Below are 22,531 nucleotides of genomic sequence, written 5' to 3'. Positions count from 1 at the left end.
GTCAGCTACATATATTTAAATATAAAAGGAATTTTAACTCCATTTGCTAATGTCTGTTCAAGAGAGTTTAGAATGAAAATGTGGAAAGCCTAGTGGGGCTATTTATTTATTCTTACTGCAGGGTTTCAGTATACAATGTAGAGTCTTAATTTACAACATTAGAACATGGCATAGCCCTCCCATTTTGTAAAGCAAAGCAATTTGGCTTTACATATTATAAAATTAAAAGATGTTTCTCATTATGAATTTTATTCTCCTGCAATACTGTAGGCTGAGAAGCCAGTCAATTCATGTCCACAGGGAGGAACTCATAAACAATGATATTTGCATTCCCTGCATCCCCAGGGAGAAATCACAAGTGGCTGAGGAGAAACTGGGATGTCCTACTATCTAAGGTGGGTGGGACTGGTGACAGGTGGAATTAATTTTGTGAGGAACTTCTTGATACCAAAGTATAGGTAGTTGGAGATAGAAGTGGGCTGGGCCATGATACCCAGCCTATATCATTACCATGACCTCTGAAATGTCATAAACAAAGATGCCATGCAGTCCATTGCTTTTCTTATTGCAAATATTGTTAAGATAATTGTATATCACATGTAATTGTAAGAATGAAGAGAGATCCTGTGTACCTTTTATCTGTTTACCCTCAATGGTAATATAGCCTTGCTTCTTACTTTGCAGAAATATATATGTCTAGGAAATAGGACAAGGGTTCTCTAGGTAAAATACTAAAGTACACGTATAAGAGGGCCACATTGCCAATTTCCTTTTTACTCCAAGGTTGGCTGCTTGAGAGAACATGTATAAATGTGTATAAAGCAATAGCTATAGCAAAGGCTTCAGATTAACCTCTATGGTAGGCAGCGGGCCTGTAATATGCAAAAGTTGACCTGACAAGCCCCAGTAAGGGAGAGGGGAAAAAACCAAGACCAAACTTGCTCCCTGGTTCAGTGAGGTGCCAAAAACTGAAAAAGAACATCAACATCAAAATGGGTCCAAAGATGTAGTGAAATGATTTGATTCCATGGGAAGGGTTTCTGCCATCAGGTATGGAAAACAAATAAAAAGTAGTCAGCTGTAAAACTGCAAAGTGGTTGAATCATCCCAGAGATCTGTCAGCATCAGGGACTGCTGTGTATATTGCAGATATAGGTAAGTAGAATGGCAAGCACAGGAGCAGCTGGACAGTGACACTGGTACAGGATTAGCAGAGGGTAGTGGTAGTAGTGGTGCTTGACACAGGTGTGTGGGAAGCCAGCAGATGCCACCCAAGTGCCTGGGGGCAAAGACCTCATGGGATGTGGAGAACAACTAAAATCTGTGGGGCACTTCAGGTATTAGCCCCTCCTCACTTCAGTAGGAGGTAAGGAACTTGGATAAGGCTAGAGTTCCAGCAATCATGCTTATAAGGTTGAGCTGTGGAATAATATATTTATCATTGTTTGGGCCCTGCTCCTCCAAGTCATTGTGACAAAGGAAAATGCCTTCAAATTTTATTTTGTGATGGAAGATATTGGTAATTTGCTAACTCATAGACAGTATTTCTGTTTCATTTAATAGGAATAGAAAAATAGTTGGAGTAACCTGGCAAGAAAGGCTGGAAGGGTGTGAGGCTTGTTAGCAGGAGCTTGTTAGTAAGAGAGGCAGTGCAGTAATTATGCACATGGGCAGTAGAGAACTTGGCTAAATCCTAGTTGCTGGAATTCTCATTCACTTGCCCGCTCATATTTACAGAAAATGTCTTTTTGGCTTTCAACATGGAGAGATTAAGTGAGAAAATTAAAGCTTGCATGTAAGTACAGTGAACTAGAAAACAACCAAATAACATTTGGTAAGATACATAATCCATTTGTAAGGAATATAGTACCAGTGTGTATGCACTTACACAAAGGTACAAAATTATATACACGTTCTCTAGAAGGAGTACTATGCCCACTGTACAAGTAATACTAGTGGAACAAACCTCCAGTTTACCAAATTGCTGGTGTCCTTGAGTCTTGAGGACTCAAGAGAGCCTCTGACAAACCTGACTCCAACAGGTGCATCTAGCAGCTTTTAACAAGCTTTACTGTCATTTAGTCACATTTACAGGTGATTTTTTGAATATCTACAGTGTCTGACATGTAGCAGCAGCTCAATAAATGCTTTTCAAATGTGTGAGCAAATTAATGAATGAAGGTTTTCAGTAATGTTGGTTGAAATGCCTCCTGTGACCTCTGGACTTTGGTATCAGATATAAGACAAAACTAAACATTGTGCAGATGGTTTTGCGTGTTCAGAATTTTCCAAGTGGAAAGATGATCAAAAACAAATTATTTACTACACGTGATTTCTTTTGGTAGTTCCCCTTCATCTACATTTGTGATCTGCAAGGCTTCTGACCTGCATTGAGTATACACATTCACCTCTCTGAGCTATTCCATGTAAACATCAGATGGAGACTCTGGGTCCGAGTTATTTAGTAGCAGAATTTGCAGAGCATTTCCTGTATGGCTGACAAGGCTGGGCATTTCCCTGACTCCAGACCTATGAGATGGTGATACCCTCTAACCTGTGAAGTAGGTAAAATGGTCAATGCCAAGGGGGGTGGATGGGAAGGTGACAGAAGACAGAAGCAATAGCTCATTGATGTTTGTCATTTTTATTTGCAATACTTTAGGTCCAAGTTTCAAACTGCAATATTTTTACACTCAAGACACAGTCATGCACAATCCATATTTCAATTTTCTATTGCTTCAACCACAATTTAAAATAACAATATTGAAAACAAAAATCCTTAAAAAGATTGGATGCTGAGGTCAGAAGGATGGAACCATACCATCAGCAGGTCTACAAAAGAAATAACTTACTTAAAAATCAAACAAACAAAAAGACCATAAATACCTTTAATCCAAAGTTACAGAAGAATTTCACTACACATGGTTTACAGATAACACATTCTGACAAAAGTAATGCTCAGCCAAATGAGATACAATTCTGATAAACAATGAAAACGTGGATCCTTCTCAACTTGTTTTGTGTAGATGTTATGAGTATAATCCCAGTAGACATCACTACCCTGTGATCTGGCTCCTCCTGGCTGATGTACTGAGATTAAAAACTCAATGCATTAGTAGCTACAGGATTCTGTGAAGATCTTATCATCAATAATGAATATGGTATTTGCGGGTCCATAAAGCACACCACACACAAGCACACACATTGAACTTGAATTTTGCACTCAGGGCTGGTTGGCACTCTGCTGTAGGCAGGGCATTGGGACCATCCACTAACTCCCAGTTTACCCTCTTTCCAGCAGTGTACTCATCATACAACTGGCCAATCACTGTGGGAGTTGTCATCAGAAATGCTATCTTTGGTTCCCAACAAATTAATTTGTCAACATTTCTCAATGCTAATAGCATGTAATTACTTTTTCATTTCTCTCTGCAACTTGTAAGTGTTTAGGTTCACTCTTAGCAGTCTCAGCCATTAAAATGCATGGGCTCTGCTATCTTGTGCCACTTGAGAATTAAACTCTAGAAAGCCCAGCACTACTTCACAGGAAAGGAGAAGCTCAAGTACAGTTATATTCTAGCAAGTGTGACAGTGTGTTTCTGTTGTAGTGGCAAATACTGGCCACAGCTTAATGAAAACCAGACTTTACATACAGACTGTATGGAAAATGAAAACTGGGAACAGTCAACAGAAAATGGACATTAAAACAAAAACAAAACGAAACAACTGTAAATGAATTGGAAGGCTGCCACAAGTTTTATCAACATCCCCTATTATTATGAACTTCATTTGCTTGAGTTTTTTTTTTTGGAGACGAAGTTTCACTCTTGTTGCCGAGGCTGGAGTGCAATGGCATGATCTCAGCTCACCACAACCTCCGCCTCCTGGGTTCAAGCGATTCTCCCACCTCAGCCTCCCAAGTAGCTGGGATTACAGGCGCCCGCCACCACACCCGGCTAATTTTGTATTTTTAGTAGAGATGGGGTTTCTCTATGTTGGTCAGGCTGGTCTCGAACTCCTGACCTCAGGTGATCCGCCTGCCTTGGCCTCCCAAAGTGCTGGGATTACAGGTATGAGCCACCGCACCCGGCCCATTTGCTTGAATTTTAAAAATCATCTTACATAGTTCTTTTATTTAACTGCAACATAAGAGACTCAGGCTTAAACGTGATATTTGCCATCACTATAGCAGGCTGAATTTGCAAGGCAACCTATAATGCCATAGAATGTTAGACTTTTGGAAAGACCCTAAGGATCATCTAGTCCAATACACTTATTTTACAGATGAGGAAACAGCCATGGAGAGGTTAAGTGACTTGCCTAGCGTCACATAGCAATTTAGTAATAAAGCTCATATTAGACTCCGGGGCTCCTTCTTCCTAGGCTAGTATTTATCCCACTACATCTGACTCATTCTCTACTATCGCTGTTGATTTCCTCTTGGGTACTAAATCTGTTGAACATGTTGCCAGGCTTACTGCTGGTATTATGGGATAGCATTTGCCTGATGGCAGCTTCTAAAGGAGACTCCGATGGCACTAAGCAGTTTCCAAAAGTTTATCTTGCAAGTTCAACCCAATTAAGTGGCAGTAAATGCTACAAGTTGTATAGAATACTCGTACACACAGGTGTGCACATGGAGGTGATATCTCAGTTCCCGCATTTGCAGATTCAGTTAGACATTGTTTAATATTAAACACATTCCCAATGCATGTTGGGTTATATTCATTTGGTCACTTAAAGGAGTGTGGATCAGAAAAGGAATGAAAACACTAAAAGCTAACCAACAGAAAGATTATATCAAAAACAAATCTTCTACGAAAAATTCTTTCATAGGAGAAATATTCCATTATTTCCAAGTTCCCATTTATTTCCTTCCCAGTCCACATGCAAATACACGTTCAGAATTGTGTGCTGAGTTCACTTCAAATCCCAGGCCCATCAAACTGTCAGTTTACAAATGCTGAATTTCAGTCCTCTTGTTCAGAGCTCAGAGACTGGGAGATACTTGCACTACTGGCCATACCTTTGCTTAACTGAATATTAACTGCAAGTAGCTTAGATAAAGACCAAGAGATTCAACCGGGGATGGCAGGGTTAAGACTCCCCTAAGTATTTCTGTATTGAGAATGACCAATAAAAAGCCAGTGACTTCTCTAGGTATAGGGTCTGCTTTTAGTGAAACTAAGCAGCATATCTGAGGTGACTACCTCATTATTAAAGTTCTCACCTAAAATTTCTTTGGTGAGTTAGAAGGAAGTTATCCTTTGGTTAGATGGTCTCCCTTGCTCTTTAAAAATCACAACTACTGCAAACAACCTATAAATAGGCAGAAAAAAGCACATGGAGACCATCCCAAGCCAAAATTAACAGAACTATAACTGAATGCCAACAGGCAGAGACAGTCCTACATATTTGTTTAATGATTTCAAAGTCAGCTTTTAATTGCAAGTCATAACTTCTATTGAAATTAGTGGGACTTGCCCTATTGGTTATTAAAAGAAGAATCCTACCTGAATGATATACAGTAATATCCTGTTGGACAAGAAAATGGTGGGAGCTGGGGATTTTATCCTTCTAGTCCTCCAAAATTCAACCTGAGAGTCTGTTAAAACGTTCCAGAAAGGCAATATCTGCAACAGATGTTATCAAGGGGGCTAATAAAATGGTCACCCCTCCAATCTAAAGCAACCACAAAACAGACACCCGAATGCCATACCAAAGCAGAGGGCAGACAACCTGTTTTAAAGCAGAAGAGTGTGTTTGGAGTTCTAATAGTGACATCTCCCTAGCTTTAACTTATAGATAATAGTCTCCTAAGAAAGCGTGTGCCATACCCGAGCGTGTGCCAACCTCAGCACCCAGGCAAGCATAAAGCCTATGGAATAATTGTAACTAGCAAATATCTCTGCCCTGCATGCTCTGCGCTCTGGCCAGAAGGCATCTGCTTCTGGCATCTTTTCTATGTGTCTATAGTTCCCTTTCTGCTGTTTATTTATTGTAAAGCAATATTATAACAATATCAAATAAAATTTTAAAAAGAAAAAAAAATTCACATAATTCCACCACCCTAACACAACTGATTTCAATTATCTGTGTTCCCAGTCTTTGTCCATATGCATTTCTTTTTACATAGTTGTAATCCCTGTTTATGTTATTTAAAAGTGATATTATAGAATCTCTCAGAACTGGCAGCCTCATTAGAAATAAACCCATTGAGCAAAGGAATATAATTATTTACACGATCTTTGAGCTGAGAAATATCATTTATAGACAAATATCTCAAACTATCAAAACAGTTATACAGACAACAGGAAGCAATTTCGTGTTTCTTTTTCTTTTAGCAATGGAATGTGCTTCACCGGGGAGGGATAGATGTAAGGATCAGGTGGTTAAACTCAAACATTGGGGTGCAGTTCACAAGCCTGAAAGAAATCTGAATAACATAAAGAATAAATACTTGAGTTAAATCTTCTTACATGGCTTGGCCATCCAGTAGCCAAAATGGAACATGGACACACAAATATTTACAATGACACACACACGAGATCAGCAAGAACGAAGTCATTACCCAACATGGTGACTGATTTGAGGGGATTGTGTCATCTGAAAATCCTCATGGGATTATGACAACGCACTGGATCCTTGCTAACAACATTAACGTTCTTTCCTTTTTTAAATAAATAATCTCTACTGTGCTTCTCACCCTTCCCTGACTTTCCCACTGCCCTATTCCTAACTCAGGACATTTTGGAATCAACATTGAAAGATGTGCCCTCGTTATCTCAGGGCACACTAGCAACATCAAAGATTTGGATAGACTCACCTGTGTCAAGATGAGCTTAAAAATCCAGGGAAAGAGAATAAACTGTTAACAATCTGGCGTTCAAGTTACTCGATTGTACCAAATGTGAATCCTTCAGCATCACTGTGGCATGAGAAACAGCTTCTTTCTAATACTTATTAGAAATATACATAACTCTCCAATACAGGGAAGGGGCTTTAGAAGCTGTTCTCATTTGAAAATTTACATGAATACAAATTTATAAAAGTAATGCCTCCTGGGATATATTATTATCAAATCTTGGTACAAAGTGGTAGTAAAGAAGTACCTGGCTCCTCATTGTTAATATGCTGAACTGAAAGCATAAGAGAGAAGCCATTTCTCTGCCTACAGTGATCTGAAGGGTCACTGCTCCAAGGTCTCCAAAATAACAACAAAAAAAAGGCCTTCTCAACATGTAAGGGATGCTAACTAATGAATAGGGCTTCCTAACCAGGTATTGGGCTCTCTCCACTGGCAGGACACAGTCACTAATGTACTGATTTTTATTTGCATCCCAGGATTTCATTGAATTTCCCGGCACTATGAGTGAAAAATTTTTTAAAGTACTTATTTTTAAATGAAATCAAAATTAAGGCCTCTCTCTCTCATTAGAGCAGTGTGGCATTAAAAATTACAGGCCCAGATTCGTTTTTGCAAAGTATAACATAGTATGCTTCAAATTAATATTACCGTTTCATTTTCTTTTCACATTTGTTGTTTTATCCCACTGTGGACATTTTCAAGGGGAGGAGGTCAAGCCTCTCCCAACTTTTACAGTCAAAGAAAACAATAGGGAAAATAGGAAATACACCAGTGGGGTCATCTCCTGAACATAAACACGTACACTATATAGTTTGCTGAAACTCTAAAGAAAGTGCTTTCATTTTAAGATGTGGATATATGGATGGTTAGATGGATGGATGTACCTTGGCAAAGAAGGAGAGAGGCCTATGTAACTGATCTCTTTCCCCTTCTGGCTGAATGTACATAAGTTCTGTTTAGATTCTTTTATACTGCAAATTAAGAAGCCTTCTATAACACAAATTGTTAGTTTTTCAAAGGCTTAGAGAAACAACTTTCTGTAATTTACAAAATTGTCAATACACTCAAAAGAGAGGCATATCCTTTTCTACACAGACACTCCGCAGATATTTTTCTACTCTCAGAAGATTCAGGAAGTGCCAACTGTTGAATTTTTTAATAAATAGATATATGGTGAAATAGTAGTCAAATTTTGTTATTTTCCCCAAGTCATATAAGGAATTCTGTCGGACTGACATTTCTTGGGATATGATTGTAAGTTAAAATTATTTTCCACTGGAGAGAATTTCAAGACATTTATGAATATGCTTTTGATATTCAAAAGCCCAAAGAACTAAGCATGAACACACCATATTCCGAAACAGAAATAGGTGATACATAGGAAAAATGGGAAGAGGTACTTAGAGCCAAATATTGATTGGGATGTAGCCTTCACTGACCTCCCATTTCTTACAGAGTTGAATGTTTACTATATCACCTTTCTCTAGATCTTTAAAAAACTTTTTTAAACGTTATAAATTGTCAAAATAAATAATTTGTATCATAAGTAAATGATGATTAATGTATCTATTTCCTCCTGGTATGCCTATTTTACAGTGCATATGTTTCATAAGCACAAGAGAGGATTAATTTAGGTATCATTATCTTTGTTTACTTAATGTCCAACAAGGATTTCAGTATTCTACATTTATCTGGTTTTGGCTCTCAGAGAAAGTCCCATCTTTGTTTAAATGTGGTTTCTCCTATGAGGATTTCCTAGGTTCAGAACCTGAACTCACCTAGCAGGATGTCACAGTTTCAGTTTCAGTGTGTCCTCTTTCAGGTATTAAGGAGATTAACAACCTGGTTTACTCAATTATCTTTTAAGCATCATTGTGAAAATGTGACAGGATTTCACCGTTTGAGCTTTATTTAGATATACAGTTTTTTGAAAGCCCTTCCTGAACACACATATTCCTCTCCACTTTTGGAAAATGTCTTAAAAGAAACCTTTTCCAATACAAATGCAGAAAAATAGGTACACAAACCAAGCCACCACTATAGAAGAAGAATAAAAAATTGCAACTCTATTAGGGCATGGACTTCCACATGTTCACACAGTACTTGCTCTGGTATTTTTTGTTTGCTTGTTTTTGTTTTGTTTTTGTTTTTGTTTGTTTTTTTTTTTTTTTTTGCCTTGCTTTTTTTGCTTTCTTTTTTTAGAAAAACATTTTGACATCTTTTTTTTTTCTGGACATCTAATGACAATGCAAGTGAAAAACATCACATTGGGTAAGGAGTTTTGAAGGAGGTTTGAATGCAAGAGGGACTACTCTCTAACTTAAAAACAAACACAACACTATGAAGAGGGAGTGTGCATCTTTGAGAAACCTTTTTCTTCAAAGTGAATGCACAAAATGAGGGGATTCACTACTGGCTCTTTCGCTTCACGGTGGAAGTGACCACTTTATGGTCACTTCAACATTGCTGCCCTGTTTGGGCTGCGATTCAGGCTTACAAATAAATTACATAATCTGAGGGAGTAGGAAAAAGGCTTATAAGAAGTTTCTATTCATTTGAAAGGTAAAGAACCCCCACCCCATTTGACTGTCTTTTCTTCCATCTTTCCTGCAGCAGAGTTTTATTTCAGTCTTACTCATGAGGGAGATGGTGAGGTGTAAGGCTTGCAGTCTTAGCGGCTGCTGTTCTTAATTGCTTCCTTTGCAGCGATAATCAGAGGAGTCAGGCTGGAGAGAGGCTTGGCTAATTTTAAAAATGGATGCTGCAAAAGGAAGGAAAAAGAGGAATTATTGGAATTCTTTCCTCCAACAAGTATATTACTTTACATTTTCAAGCAGCCCTTTTGAATTAAGATATATTTTGAACACCCAATTAAATATCATTTAATTAAAAACGGTGCCAGCTTTTGTCCTTCAGATGTTTTTGTACTTCATTGTCATGAAATCCTCTGGAAGCTGACTAGCAGAGTGAGAAACTCTGAGGGATCTTGTAAAACCTCACTGTGTTTGCAACAGTCTGACTCTCTGATTTTCCTAAACTGATATATTTATCTAGAGAAGCTGTCATGCTTGGAAAAAGTATATTTAGTTAACCACTAGAGAACTCTGTCCTGAAACCAATGGCTTACTAACTGCTAAACCCAACGGCTGTGCCTCTACCATTTCTCTTTTGGCCCCTCTGCAGTACTTAATAAAAGTGAATATCCCTTCCTTCTTTGAATTTTTTTAATTTATTTTTTTTGCCTCAGAAGCCTGTGACATTCTACCATATTGGGTCTCTTCCATGCGCATGTGCACTGAATATTCCAGCTCCATTTTCTTCCCTGGTTTCACTTCCTCCTCCTACCTCCCACTCATAAGAACTTGGCTGTCATCATCTTCTTTTTTTAATTTAATTTCTTACAGATGTCATTCTCTTTCATGGTTTCAACCCACCATCAGCTTTATGGAGATGACTCCTAAATCCATAGTGTATGACCTGATCTCTTTCCTGAACTCTGGTCCTAGTTTTCCTGCTGGATATTTCCTACGGGATTTTCTTCTGTCACCTTAAATTCAACATTTAAAAAGTTATGTTACAGTCTCACAAGCAGGGCAATCTTGTGTAATGTAAGCTACAGGGGCTTTGGAGTCAGAGCACTTAGGTTAAATCCTCATCTCTGTTTATTAAAATGGTTAAATGAGGTAAGTGGCAATCCCTTGTAAGTTACATAGGGTCAAGAAATGTTAGCTATTATATTGTCTTCCATCACTTGTCCTCTTGCTGAATGCTACCATTGACTTGATAGCCTGAAGTCACTTTTGTCTTCCTCTTCTTTATGTTCTAAATGCAATAAGCTACCGGGTACTCTCTTCTCAACGTCTCTTACATTTATCTCTTGCTTATTATTATTATTATTATTATTATTATTATTATTATTATTATTATTTGAGATGGACTCTTGCTCTGTTGCCCAGGCTGGAGTGCAGTGGCACAATCTCAGCTCACTGCAACTTCCGCCTCCCAGGTTCAAGTGATTCTCTTGCCTCAGTCTCCTGAGTAGCTAGGATCACAGGCGCATGCCACCATGCCTGGCTAATTTTTGTATTTTTAGTAGAGGCAGCATTTCACCATGTTGGCCAGGCTGGTCTCAAACACCTGACCTCAGGTGATCCGCCTGCCTCGGCCTCACAAAGTGTTGGGATTACAGGCATAGCAATCATAGCAATCACGTCTGGCCATCTCTTGCTTTTTCTAATTCAATCCTAATCATCTTAATCCCAAATTATAATAACTCCCCCTTGGTCTCCCTGTCTCCATTTTTTCCTGTTGCTAATTCTTACCACATACTACCAGATTAATCTTCATAAACAAAGTTGTCATCATGCTTGTCCCTCAGACATCTTCAGTGTTTCCCCACTGCCTACAGCCCCAACTCTTAAGCCTGGTGTTCAAGGCCCACCATAGGATTATCCCCTGCAGCTTCTTTACTTGAACTCTTTATTTCAGCTACACTTTCTAGGTTCTGTTCCTGTAGACCTTGCCCATATGTCTTTGGTTATACCCTAACACTTCCTTCCATTTGAAATCCCTTCCCTTATTTTCTTCAACTTAACTAAACCTGATCACTTCTTTAAGGCCCAGAAGACCTCTTTCCTGTTTGAAGACATTTTCTGATCACCCCTAGCTAACAGAAGTATTTCTCTAATCAACCATATCATTTACTATTTGAACAGCTCTTTGGGTTGAATGAGTCTGTAAACAGCTTTGCATTATATTTTCATGTACCTAAGAAGGTTGTGAACTTCTTAAATGGAGGAATCATGCCTTTTAATAGGTTTGTATCACCCACTGCACTTATGCTTTACAAATGGAAGTTGCTCAATAAATATCAATTGATGGACAGAACTGTCTTAGGTCATACAGAAAGACACACAAATATTGAAGACCTGTGTCTTTTCTCCAGCCTTCCAGTGGGGTGAATGTCATGCATCTCTCCCCTTTCTAATCTTGAAAATGGCAATAATAGGCTAGAGTCAGAGAATGGAGTTGCATGGACTCAAAGAGAAACACAGGCTATTGCTTACATATATAAAATGAAAAGACGCAATAAACTATTCAATTTAGACTCAAAATACAATTTTGTATCAGTTATCTGACTGGTTCATATAAAAGTATTGTTGGGGAATGAATTAACTAGATAATTGATTTAATGATCTATTTAGCTGGATAGCCACATTTATCTGGATAGCCAATTGAAGATAACCTACACCTTCAATTATCCTTACAAGAAGATATAAGAGGAATGTGTATCAGAATGTGTATGTGGAGTGGTGGGAGGGGTGAAAAAATATAAAAGTGATGTACTCAAAAGTTGTCTTTTCATCTGTAATTTGAGGCTGGATTAATTAGAGGATTAACAAAGGGCCATTCCAGATTTGACATTTTAGGGCCCTATGATAACCTGTGAAATGCTTGCAGGTAGCAGAAAAGAAAAGATGTAGTCTCTTCAGTTTCTCCAAATAGGTTTATTCCAGGTATGATCTGAGTTAGGGTGGGATAGTTTTTGCCTGGGTGCAGCTCTGTCTCTGGAAGGAGTTCAGAAGCAACAGGAACAGGTTTTTCTTTCAGGGAGTAGGCTAGAACAGACAATCTGTGGTTAATGCGCTGTATAACCAAGTGTTGCACCTTCTGTTTAATTGGCTTATGTGTTCAAAATCACAAAGAAAAATAGCAGTCATTGTTCTTAGATGTTAAATGTCTTCATACATGTCCCTGAGAAACACTCCCCAGCAGTGAAGCTATGTGTATAATCCTGGGCACGTACTGCTTTATCAAATACAGACATATTTTTATCTAAATTGGTTTGTGTGTGACGTGTGGTGGAAAGTCAGACAATTCAGGGCTCATATCCCAGCTCTGCCCTTCAAGAGCTGTGAGTCTCAACTTTTACATCTATAAAATGGGATAATAATGCCTACCCTATAAAGTTGTTATAAAAATGAAATAATTTATTGAAAGAATTTGGTACATAGTAAGTATTATTTCTCATCATGTATACTAATCCCTGGGAGCCGTGAAAAGGACAAATGGTTACAGAGGCACTCACCACTGGATGGTACTCACCCAGGCAAGCAGGTGCCTGCCAATTGGCATCACAAGCAAAGGGGCTTTGACCAGCAAAGCATTAGAGTAGCAAATGCCATGGAAATAATTGCATAGTTATGTAGAGAATTACCTCCGGCCAAGAGCACCTGCATACAACATCCAGGGGCACAAGTAAAGTTTAGAACAAAACACCAACACCAGAGGGTCACATTGCTTTTTTTTTTTTCCTTGCAAAATAAGACTCCAGGAAGAACAAAAGAGATTTACAGATTACACTGCCAACTTCTCAGAAGAAAGGCAACACGTCAATCAATCATGTATTAGATGCGTGCCTATAGTTATGTGCCTGTGGTCTAAAATAAAATGGTAATAGCCTAACTCTAGACATCTCTTGACAGAGCTCTCTGTCACACATTGAGATGGAAAAGCTGAGTATAATGCCTCTCTTTGTAATTGTCCTATTTTATTTTCACCTGCAAAAGCTCCTTGGCAGATCCTCGCCTATCCACATCCATCTCAAGACAGCGATTTAAAAAGTCACGGAATACAGCTGACAGTCTCTCAGGATTCTGGAGCTCTGGAGTTCCATTAGTGGCTATCAGATACAATGCCTGTAGAAAAAAATAGAAAAATCCATTCAGCACATACATATTAAAATCATGGCTTGGCACAGACGGCAAAAATCCAGTTTCTTCTGGTTTACATTCTGGGTCTTAATAATTCCACTTTAGAGAATGACACATATATTTCAAAGTTTCTATAACATTTAGAAATGATTAATATTGGCAGTAACTGAGGTGACAGTGAAGTGTCGTCCTACCTCCAAAAACTTAAAAATAAGGTTATATGGTTGTCCTCTGAGAGTTAAGCCAGTAAAAACCCACATATAACGAATATGTGATTAAGTATCTAGAAAATTAAACCAAAGGATTGCCTGTAAATCTGTTTCTCTAAAGACTTGGGGAATACACATACATCCATTCATTTTGACCTGAGTATAACCTTGGGAAAGTGCAATGGAAAGGTAATTGTAATTTGCTAAGTGCTTATCTTGTTTGAAGAATGTTTGTGAATAGATGTGGAATGAAGAGAGTACATTATAGAATTAGGGAAGTACAATGAACCAGAAGATGCCAGTGCCTGGATGAGAGAGGCAAGCTGTGGGGCCCAAGAACTCAAATACTTTTACCCTGTGGCAGCTGTATCCCTATTGATTTTAATTAGATTTCCCATGAAGGTGCATCTACAATGAGAGGAAATATGAGGAAAAAATGACAATAGTAGTCTTGGCACCTGCCAATTATCATGGTAAAATAATAAGTTGCTAATAATTGTATATTTCTCTGAGAGCTTTGTGGTATAAGGCCACCACTAAGAGATATCAAGTCATGATGGCCTGAGAGAATCAATGTCTCTAGTCTTCTAGTCAGAGTTGAACTCAGGACTACGATTAATTCACAAAGGTAAACCCATCTTTTGAAGGTTTTTTTTTTGAGACGGAATCTTGCTCTGTTGCCCAGGCTGGAGTGCGGGGCACGATCTCAGTTCACTGCAACCTCCGCCTTCCTGGGTTCAAGTGATTCTCCCGCCTCAGCCTCCAGAGTAGCTGGGATTACAGGCACGCGTCACCATGTTAGTAGAGATGGGGTTTCAGCATGTTGGCCAGGCTGGTCTTGAACTCCCGAACTTAAATGATCCACCCACCTCGGTCTCCCAAAGTGCTGGGATTACAGGTGTGAGCCACTGCGCCCAGCTGAAGGTTCTTGATACAAGAAAGCTGGCCATTACTGATCCCCCCTCTAAGCAAACAATTCAAGAGCATTTAGTATGTACCAGATAGTTTATTAGACACTGGAGAGCTAAGGATGAATAAGACAGTGTTCTTGCTTTGAAGGATCACGCAGTTTAGTGGGAGACAGACATATATAGAGAGCTACAGTACAGTGGGCCAAGAGCTAATCGAGGAAACTAGAAAGCACTAAGTAAACACAAGGATGAAGTAGTTTACACCACAGCTCAGAGAAAGCTTCACAGAGGAGGCTGACATTTTAAAAGGGTATTGAAGAATAAGTAGGAGTTTGCCTGCAGGTACTGCCAGGGTATTACTAGCCCATGCAACAAACTCCCTAACTCATGAAGACATGTTCCCCCTGAACTTGCCCAGGTTTTGCAGCAAATTATCATCCCCTTTCCCCTTTCTCTACTCTAGCTTCTATTATTATTATTATAGGTATTTCTGTAAAAGTCCTTTTGCAGGCCAGTTTTCATCAGCTCTTGAAGACATCTCTTGTTTTTAGCAACTCCCACAGATGTACTTTAGAAAGGGTCAGGAACAACCGTTTAATCTAGTGGCTGTCAACTTTATAGCATGCATCAGAATCATCCAGAGGGTTTGTTAAAACACAGGTTTCTGAGCCACCCCAAGAGTTTCAGTAAATATGGGCAGGGGCCCAAGAATTTGCATTCTAATAAGTGTCCTGTTGATGTTGAAGCTGCTGGTTCCAGGACAACACTTTAAGAACAACTAGTTTAATCCACCCAAGTAATTAAGCAATGGGCTAAACTAGAGAGTCCCAGACTTGTCTGAACATTAGAATCACTTGGGGAGAGTTAGAAAATCCCCATGCTCAGTTCTCACCCCCAGAAAAATTAAGTAAAAACCTCTGGGAACAGAACCTAGGTGCCAATATTTTTAAGCTCTCCAGGTGATTCCAATTTACAACCAACAATGAGAATCCCTGGCTGAGAACCTGGAGCCCAATTCACACATAATAACTCAGAATCTCTGCGTCGTATGTACACCAAAGGTAAGAGCCACAGAATTCCATAGGAGATTGTCTTGCATAGCAATGTGTGAGAATTACAATGCCATATGCTTCTCTAGAATGCATGGAAACTTTTGGCTTTTCCTTCTAGTACTGTACACTTAAAAACCCACATGTAAATACATCCCTCACCCCTACGAAATGAACATCTTCCTTTCCCCCAACTCTCATTCCTTTGTAATTTTCAATACCTTCATTGATGAACAGGAAATGCAGGTGGCAGCTATTAGGACCTCCATGCCAACATACAAGTCAGTGACAAATCCAGTTTTGACTAAAAGGAGATGGGATGCTTTTAGAAAATCACTGATTGGGCTAAAATCGAATAGTGCACAATCATAGCAGATATAGTCAATTAAGTTCAAACTGCTTTTCTTCTTGGATGATTAGTACTTGAAGCACCTGTCCTCCCAAACATCTTTATTCCTTTATTAAAACAAAATCAGTTGCTACAAATTGCATTCGCTGCCTCCTCCTAAAACTTTGATTTCAGCTGGCTACAACTTCCCCAAAGTCACTGTTCTTCCTTTTTTTCCTGCTCTGTAGCCAAGCCCAGACCTAAACAAGCACACCTCTTTCTTCCTTTCCCAGACTCGTTTCCGCTCTCTGTAGATCTGTATTCATGCTATAATGTCTCATTTTCTCACTTTACTTTCACCATTCTTAGCTTAATATATTCTATTCCACATAATTTTCTTCCTTGAAAGTACATACACATCTTCTCTACCTGAGTCCTTCTCATCTCTCTCCAATCTATGCATAATTACCTAAGGAAATACTTGGCCTTTTTTCCATTCCATTTATGAATCCAAAAAAATGACCTTAATCACAGTTGTTAAGCCTGAGTAGTGCTAGTGAAATAGTACATCAAGGGAGAAGAAAGCCCTGTAATTTGAAGGAAAATCTGAAGTAATGAAGAGCCAGTGCTACGAACCTCTACAGTACTTCAAAGAACCCTTATGTCCTCCTCAGAACTTCAACAAAAAGGTCTGGCTGTAGTTTTTGTTAGGGGGTGGGTCTGATAGTAGGAGGTTCTGACTGGTGGCCTAACAGCAGACTCCTGCCCTGGTTGATTAGTGTTGATCTGCTTATACTCCCTCATCCATAAACAAGGTATCAAATGCAAGGTTGCCTTTTGCTCAACACTATGTCATAAATATTTTTGGATGTTTTAAAAATTCTTCATAAATATCATTTTAAGAGCTGCATAATAGTTCATCATGTCGATGCACCATAATTACTATTGGTGAACTGATTAAAAAATGCATGCGGTAAGAAAAAGGCTGAAACACACCAATTTGTGAATACTGGTTCTCTCTGGATGGTAGGATTGTTGGTGACTTAATTTTTGAAATGTATTCTTTAATTTCTCAAATTTTCTACAATGGACACAGTTGCTTTTATTATTTTAAAACCTCCAAAACATTAGTTAGAAAATACAGTTAAAAAGCTGCAGTGTCCAATTTACACAAAAATCCCCATCTATTTCTCTTTGTCTTCCTAGGATTAAACCTGCTTTTCATCAAGCCCTACTCTTTGAGGGAAACAAAAACCCAGACTATTTCTTTTGCAACTATTGTTTTCATTTTAATTGCAACAGTATCATTTACAACTAATTTCCATTGCAAAAATCCACACTTTCAGTTATATATGGGCTAAACTGGCTTTTGTGGACTGGCCTGGGAACCTAATCACTATGTATAATGCCACTTCTATGGGAAAATGTACTCTGAGGTCCAAATAATTAACTTAAAAATGTACTTTTGGAACACATCCTGTGAGTAAGCTGGGGACTCTCTTAGTAAAAAAAAGAAAATTGCTACCCACTACCCAGCTAATGAGAGACAAATACAGTTGTAGCCAATAAAACAATGACAACAAAAAGGGTTTTACTAGCAAAGTCAAGTATTAGATGAAGAAAGATTAAGGACAATAGTTCTGGGTGTGAGTGATAACATGTTGGTTTTATCTGAGCTAATGAAAACTCAAAGAAAATAAGGTGGCTATTAGAAATTAGACTACAGATTTCCCATATACTAGTTGGTTGCTTCTAATGTTAAGTAAGAAACCATATAATCATCTTTTCCCCCTTCTTCCTCACCCAGCAATCTTCCCCGCTCCACACCCTTATTATAAATAGTCCACCAGGTTCTATTAATGCAACCTTTAGAAATGTCTTTCATACCCATCCACTTCTCTCTATCCCTGTTGTCTTTGCTTAAAGTCGGGCTTCTTTCAGATGGTTCCAAAGTTACAATAACCTCCTAACCGTTTTTCCATTATTCAAGCTTTTTTATTCTTCAGTCCATCCTCCTTAACAATCTTATCTCATCACAGGTCTCATCATGTCATTCACTTCCTGCTTTAAAATTTTTTGTCACTCCCCATGGTCCACAGAGGTGGTTTTCAAACTGTGCTCCCCAAAATTCCTCTTAAGAGCAGTTAAGAGGGAAAAGAACAGGGAGAAAGAGGAGGAGATACTCTAAGACTCTCCCCAACACATACATTTTCTTTCTTTTTTTTTTTTTTTTTGAGACAAAGTCTTGCTCTGTTGCCAGACTGGAGTGTAGTGGTGCGATCATGGCTCACTACAATCTCCACCTCCTGGGTTCAAGCAATTCTCCTGCCTCAGCCTCCCGAGTAGCTGGGATTACAGGCGCCCACCACCATGCCCAGCTAATTTTTGCATTTTTAGTAGAGACAGGGTTTCACCATGTTGACCAGGATGGTCTTGATCTCCTGACCTCATGATCCACCTGCCTCAGCAACCCAAAGTGCAGGTCATGAGCCACCGCGTCCAGCCCACATACCTTTTTCAATCAGAAAATTTGTGCATTTTTCTCCATTTATTTGTGCTTCCAAGCAAGGTTTCACTGGAACCAGAGGATCATTATAGTTGTTTGAAAACTACTGATTCACAGGACATAGTAAAGATTCCTTAGGCAGTCCTGTATGATTTGCCCCCTGCCCACCTTTCCAGTTCCAGTTTCCATCTGTTCTCTTCTCACCCTAGGGCCCTTCTCCCAACTCCTCTCCCGCCCCGCCACACACATACACACTGGCTGAAGCTCACATACTACTCACACCAATTTGTTCATCATTCCCTGAATAGGAAATGCCTTTCATTGCTGCCTAAAATGCTATCCTCATTTGCCTTAAGTGCCTGGTAAACTTGCTTTTCAAGCACTGGTTAAAATGCCATCTCCTCTTTGAAGTCTTCTCCATCTCTCCTAGATAGGTAAACATGGTGACCAACCACTCTGGTTTTCTGGGGACTATCCTGGGTTTTAGTATTGAAGGTTTTGTGTCCCTCAATCTCAAGCAAACCAGGATAGTTCTATGGTCACCCTGCAGATGGAATTAGCCATTTCCTTCTTTGAACTCTGAGAGTTCTTGGTTTATATGTCTATTTTTACATTGTATTATATATGAACACTTGTTATTTGTTTACAGGTCTGTCTTCCTTCCTAGATTGTGAGCCCATGGAAGGTAGCAGCTGTGTTATAACCAACTGTGGATTTTGTGACAACTTGCTCAAAATAGGTGATCAATAAATGTTTTTGTTGCTGGACAAAATAGCCAAAATGTTTAAATTTAACTGAGCTGAGACTATAACAGACTTATATACATAAGTATTAAAGCTCAGAACCTAAAAGTGACCTATTAAAATCTAAGAAGATATGCAGAAAATGAAAAATAGCACCTTTTCTGAGCTGAACAGGCCTGGCATGTAATAACTTCTGATGACCCCACTGTTCAGTGTGGGAGAAGGAAGAGAGCTGTATGAATAGTGTATGTAAGGGGATGTCATCACCAAAGGGAGGGAAAACTGGAAAAAGATGACTAAAACATGGCCAATGCAGAAAGACCCATAGAGAAAGGGAAGAAAAAAAGTGTTCTCTGGAACTTGAAACATAGTTCAGAAACTTATTCTCTCTGGCTGTTCTTGAACAGAAAAGGTACTCTTGATTAATCTATTAGATCATTTAACAAGATCTGCTTTCTTCCTGAGGTGAGGCAATATAGGCCCCATAACCTACGGACCTTATTTATAATGTTAGAAATACAACCTTTGGCCAGAAAAACGGTGGCTTTCTTCCTTGTGATATAAGCATTACCTAGAAGTTTCTGATGTTCTCGAATTCTTCATAATAACTCTAAATATCTTGGTAATAACACACAAACATCAAAGTTTCCACTGACACTGATGTGCAACTGAATTTACCTAAGTACTAAGAGAAAACTAGGTTACCAAGTTTAAGGGATAATTCAATTTACTATATTAACAATTTCCTCAGTTAAAAAAGATCAAAGCAGTCATCATAGAAGTTACCACATTTCTCCAAAGAAGTCCCCACACAATCCATATGTACTCAATAAATTGTTATTAAGGCAGTTTTGCAACAGGACTAACCACTTAATTAAAAAGCTTTAGTTTGTGACTTCAGTTCATTACAACAGTTTATAAAGTTTAAGTTAAGAAATTAGAAAACAAACCAGAGGACTTACATGGAAACGTGTTAGCAACCATGAGGGGCCCCAGCACCAATATAAAGACTCACTTTACAAAGAGGATAGGGTGCAGTACAAACATTTCTTTGTAGGCTGAATATTTGAGATGCAAAACACATTTTACCATGGAAATCATATGATACATGGTGACAGGGCTCCAGCCCAGCCCTAAAAGTCGACTTAACATACAATGCAACTGAACTATAAGAGGGCTATTCATTGATACCTTGATATCTATATAAATGTTATATCCATGGAAAGTATTAATAGATAACTTTTACTGAATGATACTATTAGCTTGTGCAATTTACATATAAACCCTTGAAATTTATTTTAGACTGTTTATAATAAGTTCTATTTTGATCTCCAATTGAGAAGAAACTGAGGCTTGTGGAGATAAGAAGAACTTGCCCAATGTCACACAACTAGTATTTGAATCCAGGGAGTATGAATCCAGAGTTCATGCTCTTGACCACTGCACAATACCACGTCTCACTGTTCCCAGTCTCTGTTATGGGAGTGCTCCTAGAAAAGGCAGACAAGGGCTTTTCAAGGAGTGAAGCACACTGTGTATAAGCTACTGGTTTAATTGATCCACCTCTGCCTGTACAGAAGAAATGGGTCCTCTTGAGGTCAATCATTCTCTACCTGTTTGGAAATGGGGAACAAAGGGCAGGTACCCACTCAGAGAGGTAGAGGGGTTTCATACAGTATTGTATATTGCCCACTGTCTAGTACACACACACACACACACACACACGTCATTCCTCGGTATCTATGGGGGATTGGTTCCAGGAACCCCTTTAGATACCAACATCTATGGATGCTCAAGTTCCTCATATAAAACCTATGCACAGCCTCCCCTATACTTTAAATCATCTCTGGATTGTTTATGATACCTACCTAATACAATGTAAATGCCATGTAAATACAGCCATGCATTGCTTAATGATGGGGAATACATTCTGAGAAATGCATCATTAGGCAATTTCATCGTTTTGTGAACATCATAGAGTGCACTTACACAAACCTAGATTGAATAGCCTACTACACACCTAGGCTATATGGTACAGCCTATTGCTCCTAGGCTATAAATCTGTACAGCATGTGACTGTATTGAATACTGTAGGTGACTAGTGCAGTGTGTTTAAGTCTTTGTGTATCTAAAAATAGAAAAAGTACAGTAAAAATATGGTATAAAAGATAAAACATGGTACACCTGTGTAGGGCACTCACTATGAATGGAGCTTGCAGCACTAGAAGTTGCTCAGGGTCACTGAGTGACTAGTGAGTGAATGTGAAAGCCTAGGACATTACTATACACTGCCATAGGCTTTATAAATACTGTACACTTAGGCTACACTAAATTTATTTAAAAATTGTCTTTCTTCGATAATAAATTAGCTTGCTGTAAGTTTTTAAATTTATAAACTTATTTTTTCAACTTTTTGACTCCTTTGTAACAGTTTAAAACACATTGTACAGCTGTACAAAAATATTTTTTAAATATCCTTATCCTATAAACTATAAACATTTTCTATCTTAAAAATGTTTTCCTTTTTTCATTTCAAACTTTTTTGTTAAAAACTAAGACACAAACAGGCTGGGCGTGGTGGCTCACGCCTGTAACCCCAGCACTTTGGGAGCCGAGGCGGGCGGATCACCTGAGGTCAGGAGTTCGAGACCAGCCTGGGCCACAGGGCGAAACCTCGTCTCTACTACAAATACAAAAATTAGCTGAGTGTGGTGGCAGGCACCTGCAATCTCAGCTACTAGGGAGGCTGGGACATGAGAATTGCTTGAACCTGGGGGTTGGAGGTTGCAGTGAGCCAAGACAGCACAACTGCACTCCAGCCTGGGTAACAAAGTGAGACTCTGTCTCAAAACAAAACAAAACAAAACCTCCCCAAAAACTAAGAAACAAACAAACACATTAGCCTAGGCCTAGACAGCGTCAGGATCATCAATACCACTGTTGTCCCCTCTCTATATCTTGTCCAACTGGAAGGACTTTAGGGGCAATAACTTGTATGGCGCTGTCACCTCCTAGGATAACAATACCTTGCTTGCAAATACTTCCTGAAGGACCTGCCTGAAGCTCTTCTTGAGAAGTAGGTTTGTTTATACCATCATCACTACAAACATGTAAGTAATGCATTGAATTAGGATATTATGACATCACTAGGTGATAGAAATTTTTCAGCTCCATTATAATCTTATGGGACCACCACTGTATATT

General features: G+C 38.8%; 1 protein-coding gene across 35 annotated transcripts in view; it reads right to left on the bottom strand.

Annotated features, from left to right (window-relative positions):
• The window catches only part of PAK3 (p21 (RAC1) activated kinase 3), a 282,965-nt gene continuing 263,059 nt past the window's right edge, over nt 2,626–22,531 (bottom strand). For 21 of the 35 annotated variants that reach the window (XM_047442148.1, XM_047442149.1, NM_001128166.3 and 18 more), the window contains 2 exons: nt 13,429–13,566; nt 2,626–9,629 (listed from right to left, as the gene is read on the bottom strand). In XM_047442148.1, coding sequence (XP_047298104.1) covers nt 9,540–9,629; nt 13,429–13,566 — 228 coding nt within the window. In that variant the 3' untranslated portion in view covers nt 2,626–9,539. The other 14 variants (XM_011530968.3, XM_011530969.2, XM_017029559.2 and 11 more) reach the window with 3 other exon arrangements.

This window comes from Homo sapiens, chromosome X, assembly GCF_000001405.40.
Source record: "Homo sapiens chromosome X, GRCh38.p14 Primary Assembly".
NCBI lineage: Eukaryota > Metazoa > Chordata > Mammalia > Primates > Hominidae > Homo > Homo sapiens.
This window is presented reverse-complemented; position numbering and strand designations above follow the sequence as displayed.